Here is a 16965-nt window from a genome sequence, read left to right as displayed (position 1 = left end):
ATCTTTTTCCCTGGGTTAGGTTTTGGCGGTTCTGGTCACGTGCATTTTCTACTTCTCAGGGGATGCATGGGCATGGATCCCATTCACACGTTCCCCACTTGGCACGCTGCGCCTCCCTGGGCCAGCTGGCAGGGAGAAAGCTAATGTGCTGGGCGATAGGCCCCTGCCTTTCTGGATGGGTGCCGGCTGCCTGGGCGAGGGGCTTTGGTCCTTAATAGCTCAAGTCTGGACTGCTGCTCGGGAAACCCCTTTGCCTAAACAGGAGCTACAGAAGTTGGTAGGAGGGCATGACTTACACAAGCTTTGGCCTTAGACTGACATACCCAGAGGTATGAGGAAAGGGGGAAAGCCATCGGAAAGACAGAAGGCCAGGACCAGGACCAGGGCCAGGGAAGGGTGTGTGAGACCTGGATTGCCTGTGGTAACCCATGATACAAGGAACAGTTTCCTTCTTAGTTACACATAAAAAGCATGAAAAATGTGGAGCCATTGGTCGGCAACTTGCTGTGCATTCCGTGGAGATGAAAGCTTCTCTCTACAATGGTATTTCCTAAAGGAAGCAACCATAGAGAAAACAGAAGTTTCTCAATACTCTTTAGCCTTGAGGTAAAAATGTTCTGCAGTTCCGAGTCTCAGTGAGGCACCTAGCACATTGCCTGCTTTCTGGCAAGAGCTAATACATGATAGATTTCCTTGTCCTACCACATTTTAATACCTAGAAAAGTATAAGTATGGGCACGAGCTTTCTTCTGTTAGTGCCACAGCATGGCACAAAAAAAAACGTACACTAAAACAGGCCTTGGGTGTCTAGGTTCAAAGCCAGGCCCAAGACTCCTACTACACGACTTCACCTATGCCTTAATTCTTACTAAGGATTAAATAAGGTTATTTTTACAAAAGCACACAGTAGTGCTTGGTGACTGATAGATTTTAGATTTTTGGTTAAATCTGAATCAATCTCACTGATAAAGATCCCTTTGGGAAGAATAAAAAAGCAGGATAGATTTAGAGTTAAGAGTTTGGTTTTTCTGCGCGTTAGGAATCAACAACACAGAAGAAACCAGGATAAGCCAAGAATATACATACACACATACACGCACGCACACAAATGCACACAGACACCCCCCACCCCCACCTTACTGACCTATGCTTCCAGGCAAGCTCACACTGATACCGTCAAAGGCTAAGGAATCCATAGATCCTCAGCCAATAGAATACATTTCAAAAGGTCTTCTTTCTCTCATCTTTTCTCCTCTTTATAGTCCTTTCTTGCTATTTGCCCAAGTACATTAAGGATCCTGCAGCTTCTTAAGTCTTCACTCAGAGGAGATGCCACAGTCTTCAACCCTAGTCTCCCCTGAGCCAGAGGCGACACCATCCTCCTGGCCTGGCAGAGCTCACACTGGAAGCCTCGGTCTTTCTGAGGCTGGAAGACCCTTCTGGGAACCACTTAGTTCTGAAGTAATCTCACCTTGTGTCAGACGAGCTGGCCTGGAAGTCATCTTTAATGGCTGCTTTCAAATTTCCATTAAAAAATAAATAAATTATAACCAGAAGAGGGTAAAGACACTATTTGTACTCAAAGGTTTGAGGAAGCATGTTTAAGTTTTGATTCTGGGTGGGATCTGTGATTCACAATCACCCTTCTCCGCCAGGATGTAGAGAAACCCCATGGGTGAAATATTACAACGACTTGCCTGGGCTGTGCACACCTCCATGTTGTCTTACCCCGCTGCCGTTGTCACTACTGTCTTGAGGCTACAAATTAGCTTCCAGCTCCTAGTGGCAAATGGCATTTTCCGGCCCATATCTACAAACTGAATAGGAACAGAACTAGTTTTTCTCTAACTTTCCAAACAATTTCATCAGAACTAAGTTTGAAATAAAGAACATTTTGCTCCCACAGGAATATTTCCCAGTTTTTGAAAATTGCTGAATAATTCAAAGGCAGGGTTCCTAATACAATGAGCTATTGACCTTGAGCAGTCCTTACAGAATTCGTCGATCATTTAGTCTTAACGCGATCCATGATTACTTCCAGTTCTACAGATCACAGGAGACGAGACCTACCACTGATAATATGATACACCTTCTCCCTGCTAGACCAGGATTCCTTCCCAATAAGATTGAAATGCAAACCTCTGCCAGGTGACAGCCATAGACAGAGGTGTGCAGACCAAGGACAGACAGAGGAAATGATGTCACTGATGCCAAACAGCAAATTCCAGCCAGGGTTACCAGTAGCCTAGAGTAGGGCAACAAGGTGCAGTACTCTAAATCACTCCATCCCTTCTGCAGCTCCCCCATCCCCCGGCCCATGAGCTGGGCTGGGCACTGGAAGCCACTCTAGGGAAAGAAGCCAGATGGGAGTTCTCACACCCTGGAGACCAGCCCACCAGTCATCTTTGGGCTATAAGAAAGAAGGGAAAAAATAAACTTGTATTTTGTTTAAGCCATGTTATTTTGGGGTTTTTCAGAGGGTTTTGTTTTGTTTGCTTTAGACAGCTTAACCAATCTAAGCTAATACAAATTATTTCTAAAAATAAGATAAAAATCTAGAAGGCAGAGTGTTTTCATGTAGAGTATTGCACAGTGATCTCATGTAGAGTATTACAGAGAAAATTAGAAAAAGGCAGATTTAATAACCAGAGGCAAGTCACAGAAAAACCTGAGTAGTCACTGTGGGGAACTCCTGGCAAAAAGAGGAGGTTTTAGAACAGATCAAAGAGACCTTGGTCATTAGAGGGGCCTCTCTTGGGTACTACCACGGCTATCAGCAGAGGCAAAAGAAGGCCCAGGAAGTCCGGGATGAGGGAACAGGGAAAGACATCACCTAGTGAGGGTATCGGGTGCCCTTGAGGAGTTTAGACTGAGAATACAGTGGTAGGTGGTGAGGAGTGGCTGTATATGGAAACCAGCCAAGAGCCTCTGTGATGAGGGAGTAGAAGAGAAGACTCTATCTTGACCAAGGGAATTCTAAGGTGGACTAAACTGTAAACCTGTGAGACCAAGTTCTAACAAATTACTTTAGGCTGAGTACCTGTAATTTGCCTTTCTGCATATATTGATCTATATCTTGTAGTGGGATGTTTCCTTACACTATACTAATAAAATCAGGTTTTTACTCTAACCAGCCTGCTCAATTTGTCAGGTACAGAGGATTGGAAGAGAGATCCCAATGCACCCTACTTAGAGGAGAAATCACCTCTGTTCACTTTAGTGGAAGCAGAATTCTCCAGCTGAAGGACACTGGGTCTATTTATGGGTGCCCCAGGTCCATTTCAAAACACACGCCAATTAGCTTTTCTTTTTCCATGACCACAAACAACACCTGTGACCCCAGACAGTCATCTCACAAATGCATACAAGGTCAGTCAGGGTCCTTCAGGGAGAGTATGTGGATGATCCATCACCACTCATTACAAAAACCACCCCAAGCACATGCCGTGCTGCTAATGAGTCACTCGTGCTGTCCTTAGACACAAGGAGCCACGGAACACACAGGCAAACAGGCTGCATGAAAAGCAGGAGGCATTTGCTGCTTCTCAGAACTTTCCAAGTAGCCCCTGAACGCACTAAGCCTTTAACTGACAGGGAAGAGCGGATGGCAGGACATGATACTAACGGTGATACTAACGGTGTCCTGGACAAGAGGCAGTAAATAAGAAATCCTAGTTGTGACAGTGGAATGGGGTAAGGGCGACTGAGATTATGAGCTCCAGATTGCAAATTATGCCTTTAATCTTCACTAGACCAGTCTCTGGATAAAAGAGATAACATCTCATGGGGACCAAGAAAGCTACTGACTTAATGTCTTCGGGGATGTGTGACATTTCTGCTTTGGGGACGATTCCATGGAGCCATCATTTCCTGTCTCTCATCTCAGCACTGTGCCTTCCCTTGGGGAAATGAGGCCTAAGGAATGGCTCTGTTCTCCCAGACGTCTTCCCTGGTGCCTCTTCCTCTCTTCTCAACAGAGTCTAAGGGGCTGAAATTTACAATTCATCAACACCTGGAGGTCAAATGGGTTTAACTTTTCTTGAACTTGAGTGCGAGCATTCAAATTCCATCCTGAACAAGGCTTCTCGACTGCCGATTCAAGTTTCCAGGGGGACATTTTAAAGGAGAAGTAGATTTCAAGTAAATGATTGCAACTTATCGAAAATAATGTGCTACTTAGCATCTGCGGCAAACATCCTGGCAGGCAGCGAGAGGAAGCAGCACTGGAGCAGATGGGAGTGATTAGGCTCTGATTTTCAGACGGGCTTTTTTGTGGTGGTTGTTGCCTCCACTTGCTTTTACATGCTGGTAAAATCGGGAATTTGGGGAGAGCAGGGGGTCTCTGGACCATTCCTTCTTTCTGTGCACTGGAGATGGAGCCCCCCACTAAGAACTCTCACATCGGAGGCGCCCACCCCTGTGGGGAGATACAGTGGTCATCATGAACCATCATCATCAAAAAGCATTTAGCACCACAAGATGCTGGCTAAATGCATCAACGGGTGACAGAGAGATAGATGAGGAGCCGTCTTAATTTTCCTTTAAATATCTGCCTCCCTGAGGCTGGGCCTTATTTACTGTGGTTCTTACTGTATTTCTCTGAAGAGGTGTCTGGCTTTCCTGCTCACTGTGTAAAGCAACATCTCTCCAACCCATGTGATATCTGCTCTGGAAGTTCCCCTGTTTCACTGGCCAGACATTAGCATGGCCCTTCGTAGGCACCTTGTTGATGGCACTTCATTGAACCCCACTCTGGTTGTATGGGACAGCCCCTAGCAAGCCATCCGTATTTCCATGAGGACACTGGGGCCAGCATGCTAAGCACCCTGCAAATCCTTTGCAGAACAGACAGGAGGCTCCAACTCTCCCCACTTCAGCAGAGAACTTTGCAGGGGCTCATGCTTTCTGGGGTAACAGACATATGGTCATCTTAGAAGCCAAATTTGCTTTTCTCTTTCGGTGCTGCCTGCTTTCTAGCAGCACTCTGTTTGACTCTGCCAGACTGGTCATGTCCACTTATGTTCAGTGACAGCCTTACAGCTCAGTTAAAATAAAAATCTCTCAACCCGCACAAAGTGTGACTGGGCTGCACAATTTTGCCAACATTGCTACTCCAACAAGGACCCCAGTTGGTCTCTCGGTCAGTTGTTCATTCAACATAATATACTGAGGATCTACTCTTTGACAGAACCTATATTTCAGCTGGGGAAACTTGACCAGAAATAAGACAAGTGTGCAGAATCATGGGGGAAAGAGCTAATATACAAAGTGAAATTGCTAGAACAGGTATGTGGACAATGTGGTAGAGAAGAACTAAATACGCCATATTTTCTTTCATGGAAATTAAACCTTACAAATCCATTGTCAAAAATTACCTCCTTTGACTTGCAGTGAGCCGAGATAGCGCCACTGCACTCCAGCCTGGGGGACAGAGTGAGACTCCGTCTCAAAAAAAAAAAAAAAAAAATTATCTCCTTTGCTTTTATTCTCACATGAACGTTATGGGGTATTATTAACCCTTTTTTAGTCAGATGAGGAAACTGAGGTACTGGGAGTCAAAGTGGCCCAAGGGCACATACTTAGTTCTGCAGTTGACTTCACTCAGGGTGTTCTCCCTACCTCACAGCTGCCTCCAATTGTAGCAAGGTTGATAGCAAGCAAAGGCGGTGCCCTGAAGAAAGAATAGGGTTGAACCCCAAGTAGCAGCTGGCAGAGTTTCACGGGATGAAGGCCAATGTGGACTTTCATGCTGCCTTTTGCAGAATTTCATTTCTGTTTTCCTGAACTAGCCTAAACCAAGAAAAACTACTAACGACACACATGTAGTTTTCTCAGCTTCACACTCTTAACCTGTTCTTCTTTTTTTTTTTTTTGAGAAAGGGTCTCACTCTGTTGTCCAGGCTGGAGTGCAGTGGTGCAATCACAGCTCATTGCAGCCTCGACCTCCCACGTCCAAGCAATCCTCCCACATCAGCCTCCCAAGTAGCTGGGACTACAGGCACACACTACCACGCCCGGCTACTTTTTCTGTAGAGATAGGGCCTCCCTATTTTGCCCAGGCTGGTCTTGACATCCTGAGCTCAAGTGATCCTCCTGTCTTGGCCTCCCAAAGTGTTGGGATTACAGGTGTGAGCCACTGCACCTGGTCTATTATGTCTTAAAGCAAACCAAACAGACATGGTATTTGTTTCTACACCACACCATCAAAAATTACAGTTGTGCAAACACTTTTTTTTAATGCTGAATTTGACTTCACTTTTTGGGACAGGAGATATGGAAGTGAAACAAAAGTTACCCAGTTTTTGATCTGTTTGGTAATGAATAGCACTGAGTTGCTGTTGTAAGACCTTGGTCTTAATGTTCAGCATCACCCAGCAGGAGATATCCTCCAGTTCCAGGCTCTGTTCCCAATTTGCCAACCAGAATTATGGGGCCACCTCCCTACCTTCATATGTAACCAAAATAACAGGTGGGCTCAGAAAAACTGAGAGGAAAGGCATTTTGAAGGTTTCCAATGAAAGAAGCATCTAACACTTGTATCAAGGTTGTCAAAGGTATATATAATGTATACTTCTTTTTCCTGCAAAAAACCAGAAGGTTATGGAGTCATTTCAGCCTAAAGTAAACTAGCTAATTTTAAGATTCTGCAAACCAATGTGAATTATGTTCACATAGTTCTCTTTCCTCTTCTAGAGGGAATCCCAGGGAACTGACGTTGGTATAGACTAAGAGATTTCTGCTTTAGGTAAACATTCAAACAATGCTGCTGATTGCAAAACTGAGGACAGGATGGCAACAACAGGTTGGAGATCAGACAGGTAGTTATCCAGCCTTTAAGTGACAGGGATGTAAATAATTATGAACAGAATAAAAAGCAGAGATTTTCTTAATTCCGCCCTCCTTTGTTTGCTACTACTGTAGTCCTGTGACAGTGGCAGGACCCTAGACTTTTGAAATACCATAGTCAGTGATTACATCCTGTGAGAAAATGCTCAGAGTTTAGCTTTATGGTCAGAGTCTCTGGAATGCAGCCTTGCTGTTCATCTCTCGACCCTTAAAACCTCCTGAGATTTTGTTGTTGTTGTTTGAGGCAGGGTCTCACTCTGTAGCCCAGGGTGGAGTGCAGTGGCCAGATCTTGGCTCACTGCAGCCTCCGCCTCCCGGGTTCAAGCGATTCTCCCACCTCAGCCTCCCAGGTGGCTGTGACTACAGGTGCGTGCCACCATGCCTGGCTAGTTTTTGTATTTTTAGTACAGACGGAGTTTTGCCATATTGGCCAGGCTGGTCTTGAACTCCTGGCCTCAACTGATCCTCCCAAAGTGCTGGGATTACAGGCATGAGCCACCATGCCCAGTCCCTCCTGAGATTATTTCAAAGATGCTAAGGTGAATTTCAAGGTGTGGTTTTCCGAAACTATTATTCTGTTGACGGCCAAGCATTTATTCAGTTCATATGTAGGGAGAAGAAAAAAAGCTTCCATTACTTGTACCTCCATCTTCTGGATGGCAGCCCCCCGCCCCCCCACACCTCCTCTCTCTCTCTCTCTCTCTCTCTCTCTCTCTCTCTCCTCCCACCACACACACACACACACACACACACACACACACACAAATGTAAAACCACAAGATTTACTGCAGAGATTCAATATTAAATTTTAGCCCAGCCATACATACAATGACAAGCCATATGTACAATGACAAGTATACTAAGCTCACAGATTCATTAACCTCTTGAAATTAAAGAAGGGAAAGTTAATCATTGCACAGAAAAGAAATCTTTTATTGCTCAAGTTAGGCTTAAAACTTTGCACTTCTGTGTTTCCTTTTGGATATGTTCTAAGACTAGAAATTAAAGTCACTAGGAAAAGAAATCCCCCTTGGGGCACAATTCATCCATTTGGAGAATATGCTGATCTTTAAGGGACAAGTATTTCCCTAGAAAAGGCAAAGGGAAGAGAACACTTTAGATGAAAAACAAAGAGGACTCAAAAAGGAAAAAGAGGGGTGGGAATGGCAAAAGAAAAGAGGGAGATAACACTCAAGATATTTGTGGATCAAGAGGTATTATGTGGCCCAGATGTCTCAGCAGTGAGGACATAGCACAGCACCCCTTCCTTCTAAATCACATGCCACAGCCGCCCAGTACCCCTTCCAGAGCAGCTTTTCTGTTCTGCCTTTAGCTGGCCATGCCCTTTACACCTAAGGAACACCCATGTTTCTGGGGATGCGGATTCTCTGCTTCCTAGAAAGAAAGGCAAGAAAGGTACCTGGGAAGGAACCCACGTACAATGAGCTATGATAAATACCTAACAATTTATACCGCGCATTCAATCTAGGATAGGCTGCCTCTTCACTGAAATCTATTAATTATTCATACACTAAATCAAAGACCCATTCCTTGATTGGTTACTATGGGCCAGACAGGTAACGGTCACAGAAATGAAAGACAAAGTGCCTGCCCTAAAGGAAATGATAGTGTCATAGAGAAAAGCTGACAAACCGATTATTAGTATACAGAGATGTGGAGGAAGTTTACTCAACAAATGGCCTCAATTGTGATATCATCACAATTAAGCCTTTTGACATTCATCCTTATTTCCTTACTCCAGTGTAGACTGCCACATATTCAAATATACAAACAGACCCCAATGTATGCCCATGCAGCAGGTGACAAGGGCCAGGTGCTTGTGTTTACCTGTACTTGTTTCAGCACTCACCCCATCCTTACACCATTAAACCGAATAGCCATTTGTAGGGCTTAAACACTTAAAAGCCAGTATTAAGCAGAACCTCAGCTCTGCATCTGGGGACAAAATACCCCGCAAAAGGGATGGGAATCCTGAGAGTGCAGCCAGCATAAATCACGCCAACATCACTGGGCAGACGGTTATAACAAAATGCACTTCCTCCTCCATGAAGAGCAAGGGCTTCGTAGACTGCACCCAAGCCACAAGCTCCACACCAGACCAGAGATGGGCTGGTAGGCAGAGGCAAAGGTGGTTTCAAGGCTTCTGTGGCTTTGAAGAAAACATCTTTGAGTGTGAGAAAGCATTCACATGGTCTCTGCGGGCATCCTTTCCCTGTGGTCGGGCACTCTTCAATCTGTGGCTGTTGATTTCACCACACACTCAACTTGTCCCGCCATAGTCCTCCCTAACGTAGCCCTAAAGACAAAAAGACCACTAAGATCGCCTTGCAAACCTAATCAGAATGTGGCAAGTCTGGGGCAGTGATCTTTCACTCTATGATCTTTGACAGTGGGTCCTAGGGGCAAAAGTCTCAGACTCTTAAAATCTTATCTGGCTCCTTCCGTTAACAGAGAAAAGTAAATATTTAGCCACCAGCACAGAGGTTGAGAGAAAAACAGCTGTAATCAACACTCCACTTCTCACCCCTCCCAGATCAGAGGTGAAGCCTGACACCCCTGACCCCTAAGCGAGCTTCCTCGGTGTAGCGAAGCACAGAGCCCAGCCAGCAATAATTCCACATATAAACAACTCTTGCTAGGCATGAAGCACACACCAGACAGTAATCAGCTTATCTAACAGAACAGGCCTCTTTTCCGAACGCAGAGGAGGATTAGCAGGCTTGAATTACAGCCGTGAAGTGTAATCAAGCCCTGGTGGACCCTGGCAAAGGCTACTGTATATTCCTGCTGGGCCATGGGTTGTTGGCACGATGTGGTGTACCTACAGGGGACGAACAGAAAATGCTTGAGATGGTAATTACACTGGGAGACAGCAGTTGAGAAATGGGGAAGAGCAAGTGTGGAGGGGAGAGAAATCAGATTCCAGCTGATGCCCACGTCCTCCACATCTTCCAGTCTTTGGAAAATCTTGAAGTTACTGGATTTGAACAGATTTTTCTGGCTTATTAAAAATAGAATATTGCCTACATCACATAAAGGGCAAACTCCGCCCTCACTTGGTCACAGAAGCAATTACAGCATTGTCTGTAGTACACAGCCCACGGCCTCTAACCACAGTGATGGGCACACTTGGTGATGTGCAACTCAGTGGGGCCTACAGGGTCCCAGCTGACATAGACATCACAAAGGAATTTGAACCAGGACTCAGAAATAGGTAGACAATTTTAAGAATTGTATCCTCACCTTGAAGATGCTAAAACCAACCAGATGGGGGTTTCCTTTTATACCTCCCAGATGGAGACTTCTCATTTCGAAAACTTGAGAGTCCAGCATTTAATGATATGCCTACAAAAAAGTCTCTACTTAGTGAATTCCATGAAAAAAGGCACTATGACTTTTGAATTTTTTGAAGCTTCCCAAAGAACCCTGTGCCTTGCTGAAAAAGAAAATTGTCTTATGTTAGGTTTATTTTTTTTTTATTCTGTCATTTATTTGTGAAGAACTTTCCTTAACATCCTATTCATAGCACCCCACTATGTAAAACAATTCAACAACTCATTAGCTTTCCCTTAAAGTAATCTTAGCCCCCTCTGAAGTTCCTCATCTATCTTGCCATCTATCCTTTTCTCTTACTCATATTTCTTAAAGATCAAAGAATTCAAAGTGGATATCACGTTAAAAAATTGCCTTCACTAACATGGGGAGTCGTAGAAAAATAGCTTCCTGGCTTTCTTAAGTTCTGGGCCTCTTGAGGCAGATCCACTGCGTTAACACTGCAAACACGCTTCCTTCTCTTCAGTCAAATCTCTCCCCAGCTAACTCTTCTAATACCAGCTTTCCAATGCCTTCCCAACACCCAATCCTTTCCAGTACACTTGGAGAGAGCAGAGACTCCAGGTGACATCATGAATCCCCTCTAGAGATGATCCATGGGTGAAGAGAGAGTCATGGCCCATGCAGTGTGGGGTACGGTTGAGGGCTCTGAAATGTGCCACAGGCCGCTCGTCCTACCAGTCCCAACCTATTCCTCACTAGCTTATCCCTTAAGACACATGTCCCCAAAACCACTCTCCACATTTAATCACAGCATAGAAGCCTGAAAGCAGTGATCTTTCACGCCATAGTCTTTGACAGGGAACTCTTAAGGCCAAAACTGCCAGACTCTCAAACAACTGATAAGTGCATAAACCTAATTTTCAAAACAATTTAATTGACTACAGTCTGATTGCTGGTACACATGAAGATATACCGTGTGTCAGCAGTGTTTGAAATAGGAATGCTGAGCTGAGTGTGAGTGGGTCACTCAATTCAGTCTATCAGGTTACGATCTGACAGTGGAAGGCAAGAGACAGCATATCAAGAAAAACTCTGTGTGTGTGTGTGTGTGTGTGTGTGTGTGCGCGTGTTACCTATATGCAAGAGCTGGAAAATAGAAAAGAGCTCTGATGAGTGACATGGAGCTGAAGATCCTTTGCGAGAACTTTAAATTCATTCCAAAATGCAACCAAAATAATTACAGTATTCAAAATTGTGCCACCAGTACAGAGGGCTGAGAACAACTGCTCTTAGTGGGACAAAGCCACAAAATGCAAGAAGGAACCAAAATCTACCAAGAATTACCTTGGAGATGAGTTAAGCTGATCTGGCCTTATGATAGTTCTGATAGCCAAGGAACAGGTCAGGGCTGGAGCCCAGAACTGGATATGGTCATATCTGAGAAATCAGACACTCAAGAGTAGGAGTCACCTCTCTGGGTCTGAGTCAGCAGGCACCTCCCGCCTCTGACAGGCCTAACCACTTATCATGAGCCAGGCATGCACTCAGGGTAGCCTAAATGCTAAGTACTGCCAGCAATGCTCAGACTCTTAGCCAGCCGTGGAGGTCTTCTCTGGGGCCACCCAACTATCCTTTCAGACCTCATTCTGATATCTCTGCCTGAAAAAGCACGCGGGGCAGCAATAGTCCCCAATCACTGTCCCTTTTAAGGTGTAAGGAGGACAGGGCAGGGGAGTGGGCTGTCCTAGTCCCTTTCAGGGGCTATACTCCAAGCCACAAGTCTGGTTTCTATTACAATTTTCCAAATTGATATGTGATCCTGGTGACAACAGTCACTCTCTGCACTGGAGTGTGTTAGCACCATCTGTAAAATGGGCCACTTGCCTTTCTTTTTCCAGACCAGTTGTGAGTTTTATAAACATACTCGTGGCAAAGCCCTCTCAAATTTATTTTCCTATGTGATATCTGATATGGCCCCATCAAACAAGCACACTTTTAGAGTGGCTTGTCAGAGTTGGTAAACGGTGTTGCACCTTTGGCTAGGATTTAAAATGCCTGAAAGGGGTTTAAACCACATGTTCTTTTAAAGATAGAGAAAATTTCACTGCTGTACCCCAAGATCTAACGGCAAAGAATTTTGGTGTAGTAAATCTGCTATATGTTATGCACTGTGATGGAAAGTATTTCATAATTACAAGGTGTTGTTGCTACAGGAATCTTTCTTTTGCATTTCCTGTCTGTAGCTAAAATGGATTTTGCAGCAGATCTTTGGATAAAAGCTATCAGGTGCTTTCCTGAGAAAGGATGAACAGACAAAGGACAGCTGGAATTCTTGGGGCAGGATTTTTTTCCCCCCTATTCTTGGGGTAGGGCCCACACTTGAATTCAGCTCTATCTTCCCTTACAAAGATCTCGGTTTCTACATTCCATTCTCCTTCCCTCATGTTTGCCCAGCCCCCCTTCCGGCCTGGAGGCCCAATCTCGATCTCAGACAGACAGGTCTGGCGGGGGCAGATGGGTAATTTTTCCTTTCAGCTTTAATGGCTGCTATTAACAATAAGTTGCCCTGCCCTACTAATGGCTCAACTTTCAGCTTTTTTCTGATTGCCTATGAGTAACACTGTGTCACATGAGCTGTGTTTAACAGAGGTGTAATAAATGCCAAAGAAAAAATATTACCCAAAATAAAAAATAGTTTGTCCCAGTGTGGCTGGGATCTCATGACTCGCAACAATGTTCAGTTCAGCTTCCAGCGCAATTTCTATTTGCATTCTTTTTTTTTTTTTAAGGGTCTCTGGGTGCTTTAAAAAAGCTGTTTAAGAGAAAAAGCAGAAAGACTGTAGTGATTGTCAAGTGCAAGGAGTTCTGCATTCCAGACAAACAAATGCAGTGTGCAGACAACAGACAGAGCGGCAAGGGAACCCCCTCAGCACAAGGGGACGGCGGCAGATAGGCAAAAAGGTAATTACTACATGTCTGCCTTTCATGAAAGGCAGCCACCCTCCTTGGTGTGGCTTGGAACTTCAATTCTGGCTACCAGGATACAGAGGTGGAGGAAGAGAAGGCTGAACACCACCCCCGTCTCCCAACACACACCCTCGAGGCAAGAAAGATATCAAGTTCTCATTTTGTTGCAAGAAAACTACATTCTCCTTTTGATAATAAGCAAAAAAATACTTCTACATTTTTCAAATAGTACCTGGTCGGAACTGTTCCAAACCCAGAGAAAAAAGCAATAAACACTGAAATCCCCTGGCGGTCTCTGAGTTGAAGATGTAGGCAGGAAGTATTCCATATCTTCAAGGTTTTTAGGGAGAAGCAAGAAAACGGTAGAGGAAGGGTAGAGGAGGCCTCCCAGGAGGCCTGGGAGTGAAGTGTACCCATCCTATGAAAGCTGGAACCTTTAGGAAACAGAATCAGGAGAATGCTGACTTTAAATTTAAATTACCTTGCTGAAAAGGATTGGCCCAACACAGGACAAGCAGCAGTCTTTGGAATGAATGCATCTTTTACTGACCTATGCCTCTCTTTCAGAGGTCACGGCTGTCTTCACCCTCTTCTTTGCATGTATCTCAAGCCTATGTAATTAACACCAATATTTTTACTCACATCTGAGAAAGGAGACCAAGGGCATCAAAAGACATGGCAGTGCTGGGACTTGGCTTCAGAAATGCACTTTGCTCAAGGAAATTCTCTGAGCCGCCAGTACAAACAGTTAGAGACGGTGATGCACTTCAAAAGTTATAGCAGAAAATAGAGATGAGCCAGTAAGATAACTGCATAATTGCACCCTATAGGAGAAGATCCTTAAGGGGAAAATGATGGACCCCCATAGATACAGAACAGCTAAGGCATCATGCTGCAAGACATCCCAGCAATGAAAACTGAAGAAGAGAATGGCACTAGCCTGCAATGGTCAAGAAGGGAAGGAAGTGTTCACCCAAGCGTGAGGCTGAGGAGTTGGAGCACAGAAGGTGACACTGATTATGAAGATTTCCCAACAAAGAGCTGGCTACAGTGAAAAGAGCCCTAGTTTTCAAGTGAGAGATGTCCTTGGTCTGCCACTCTTGATCTTTGTAATCTTGGGAAAGTCACTCAACTTTATCTATAAAGAGCAGAGATGGGTCTGGGAGGGCTAAGACACGGACCTGGAAAACAAGCATTCTCTAAAAAGGCAGAGATAGTCAGATAGCCTTTGAATATCAATTTAGACTTCTTTATTTTGATAGTATTTTATACCTTCCCAACAGCTTTCATTTTATCTCACCTACATTGTCTATGCTGACCCACACATCAAGCTTCAGAAGTAGATCCTGGATGCCTATTTTTTAGGAAAATAAGTTCAAAGTTACAGCTTACGCAAGTGCAGTTCTTCAATGTCCATGCTCTTTGCACTACCCTGGGCTTACACCAGGAATTCAGATAAGCATGGACTGTCTGCTTATGTGCAGGGATGTACTGGTCTCAAGTCAGTTACCATCTGAAAGCTAAAAAAAGGGAGTCAAAAGGTAGGTAACTGGAATAGGTGCAGGCAAGCAGAGAGAAAGTGTGGGAATCAACATGAGCACTGACTTTTTTTATAGACCAAAATGGAGTAAGGGCATGAGGGCAAGTGACTGGAACCAAGTTCCTTTTAGTACTATAGAGTTTCATCACTTATATATAAGTTATTCATAAATGATTTGGTGCCACAGTAATAAAAGTTGGCTCAAGGTCCACATTTGCCATGCTCCCTAGATTTCCAACTCCAACTCAATCTTCCTGGTTATGATGGTGTCATTCCCATTTGTACAGCACACACAAGACCTCATCTGGTCCTTACAACAGCCTTAGGAGAGGACTGGTTCTACCGGGCCCATTTAATAAATGTCAAAGTGAGACTTCATCATGTGAAGGGCAGAAAAGAGTGCATGTCTCAGGGGCCTTCATTAGGGGCAAGGTGCTTTCCCCACTTTATGTATAGCATCTTCTGGACCTAAGTCTTCTCTTGTGTCACACTTTACCCTGCAGGACCACAAAGATGAAGCCACTTCTGACACCAAAGGAAATGTGTCTTCTGCTCACCTTTGTAGGGGCCAGGAAAGAAAATGTACCCCAAGTACAGATCCATAATTTGGGGCCAGAGTCTCATTTGACCCCTGTGAGATTCTTCATGATCCACTCTAAAGCTTTAAGCCACCAAATTCGATGTATTTATAAGGGAGTCAAACCACATCACATGTGCAAGTTCAAAGAATCTGATGTTCGAATCAATTTGAATGGCTGGCCTGCCTTCCTTCTTTCCTTCTTTCCTCTTTTTTTTTTTTCTTTTTGAGACAGAGTCTCACCCTGTTGCCCAGGCTGGAGTGCAGTGGTGTGATCTCAGCTCACTGCAACCTCCGCCTCCTGGGTTCAACCAATTCTCATGCCTAAGCCTCTAGAGTAGCTGGGGGATTACAGGCGTGTGCCACCACACCCAGTTAATTTCTGTATTTTTAGTAGAAACAGATTTCACCATATCGCCCAGGCTGGGCTTGAACTACTGGCCTCAAGTGATCTGCCTGCCTCAGCCTCCCAAAGGGCTGGGATTACAGGCGTGATGAATGGATTTCTTAATGAGAGTTTTCTTATCTCACACAAGTAGGTTGACAACATTCCAGGTCCATGGTGGGGAGATGAGGCAGAGTGGATTGGGTACACTGGGTAGAAAGAGATGATATGCTTCTCTGTCAATTATTGTCTTCTTCCGCTACACTCAGCACAAGGCAACTGTTCTTGCTGGCTGGAACCATTCTATCGGGAACCACTGGGTTTCACACAATGGAAAGCCGTTGCAATCTATAAATCCAAGTCACATTTCCGAAACATTTAAGGGAGCAAAAGCAAAGTTATAAAGCAGTGCTCAGCCTCCATGAGGACCCAGAGAATGTTAATAGTAGGGTCTCCCCTCTTGATGATTGGGTTCCTGCAAGGTTGAGGGGCTGGATTGCTTTGCAGGCCCTGTGCCCCTCTGTGTCCTGGGCTTCTTGTGTTGGAATTCAGAACAGGATGGGTAGTCTGGTGTGTGGGAAGAATACAAGCTTGGACTTAGAATTCAAGCCTTAAGTCCCAAGCTAGCACTTATTGTCTGGGAGGCCTTGGATGACATCTCAGAGCTTGTTTCCTCAACTGTAAAATAAAGCCGGCTGTACTTGCTGTCTGCAGTTTTGCTGAGCCCCTAGCACATGGCTGGTGTGAAATCAATGTTAGGTTTTTTTTACTCCCTTTTCATGTCCCTTCAGATAATATGATTCGAAAGAGTACTATATTTTGGCTTAGCCTCTCTCTGAATGAGAAAAGTTGTTTTCGTTAAGTAGGCACATCTACTGATGTGGAAAAAAAAAAAGTATATATGGAAAGACCAAAAAATATCCTCCCTTTTCAGAAGATGTAGAGTTAAACCACATTCTGGTTCAACAACATGAGTCCTTCATTTGAAATCTTGTTCTATTTAAATACCCTGTGGTTTTTAGTTGCAATTTCATGTTTTGCTTAATTGTCCAGAGTGGCAGATGTGATTTTTGTGTAAATTTCTATCCCATCTGTTTTTCTGTGCCAGAAATATATGTGGAAGGTACTGGGACCTCTACATAAGAATGAGCCTTATCTACACTTATAATAATAAACTTATAAACTTGAAAATGAACCAAATCTGAGTTGGCAGTGAGTACAGAAAGCCTTTTTTTTTTTTCTTTTTTTGATGTTTGTACTACCTCCCACTTTTACATCCTCCCCTTTGCTCCAAATCAGAATTCTTTGGGGATGACTTATCAAGAGATATTTTTCCTTGTGCAACTGAGAGTT

At 44.3% G+C, this 16965-nt stretch overlaps 1 protein-coding gene and 1 long non-coding RNA gene across 12 annotated transcripts in view; one reads left to right on the top strand and one right to left on the bottom strand.

Moving 5' to 3' along the window:
• PBX1 (PBX homeobox 1) overlaps nucleotides 1-16965 on the bottom strand; it is a 326864-nt gene that overhangs the window by 101538 nt on the left and 208361 nt on the right. The gene's annotated exons all lie outside the window — the stretch shown is intronic.
• Nucleotides 9869-15394, top strand: PBX1-AS1 (PBX1 antisense RNA 1). Its single transcript, NR_038072.1, has 4 exons — nucleotides 9869-10081; nucleotides 12933-14183; nucleotides 14394-14651; nucleotides 15154-15394. It is a non-coding gene; the product is annotated as a PBX1 antisense RNA 1 (long non-coding RNA).

The sequence above is a fragment of the Homo sapiens genome, chromosome 1 (assembly GCF_000001405.40).
Source record: "Homo sapiens chromosome 1, GRCh38.p14 Primary Assembly".
Lineage (NCBI taxonomy): Eukaryota > Metazoa > Chordata > Mammalia > Primates > Hominidae > Homo > Homo sapiens.
The sequence above is the reverse complement of the archived record's forward strand: the minus strand, read 5'-3'. Positions and strand labels throughout refer to the sequence as shown.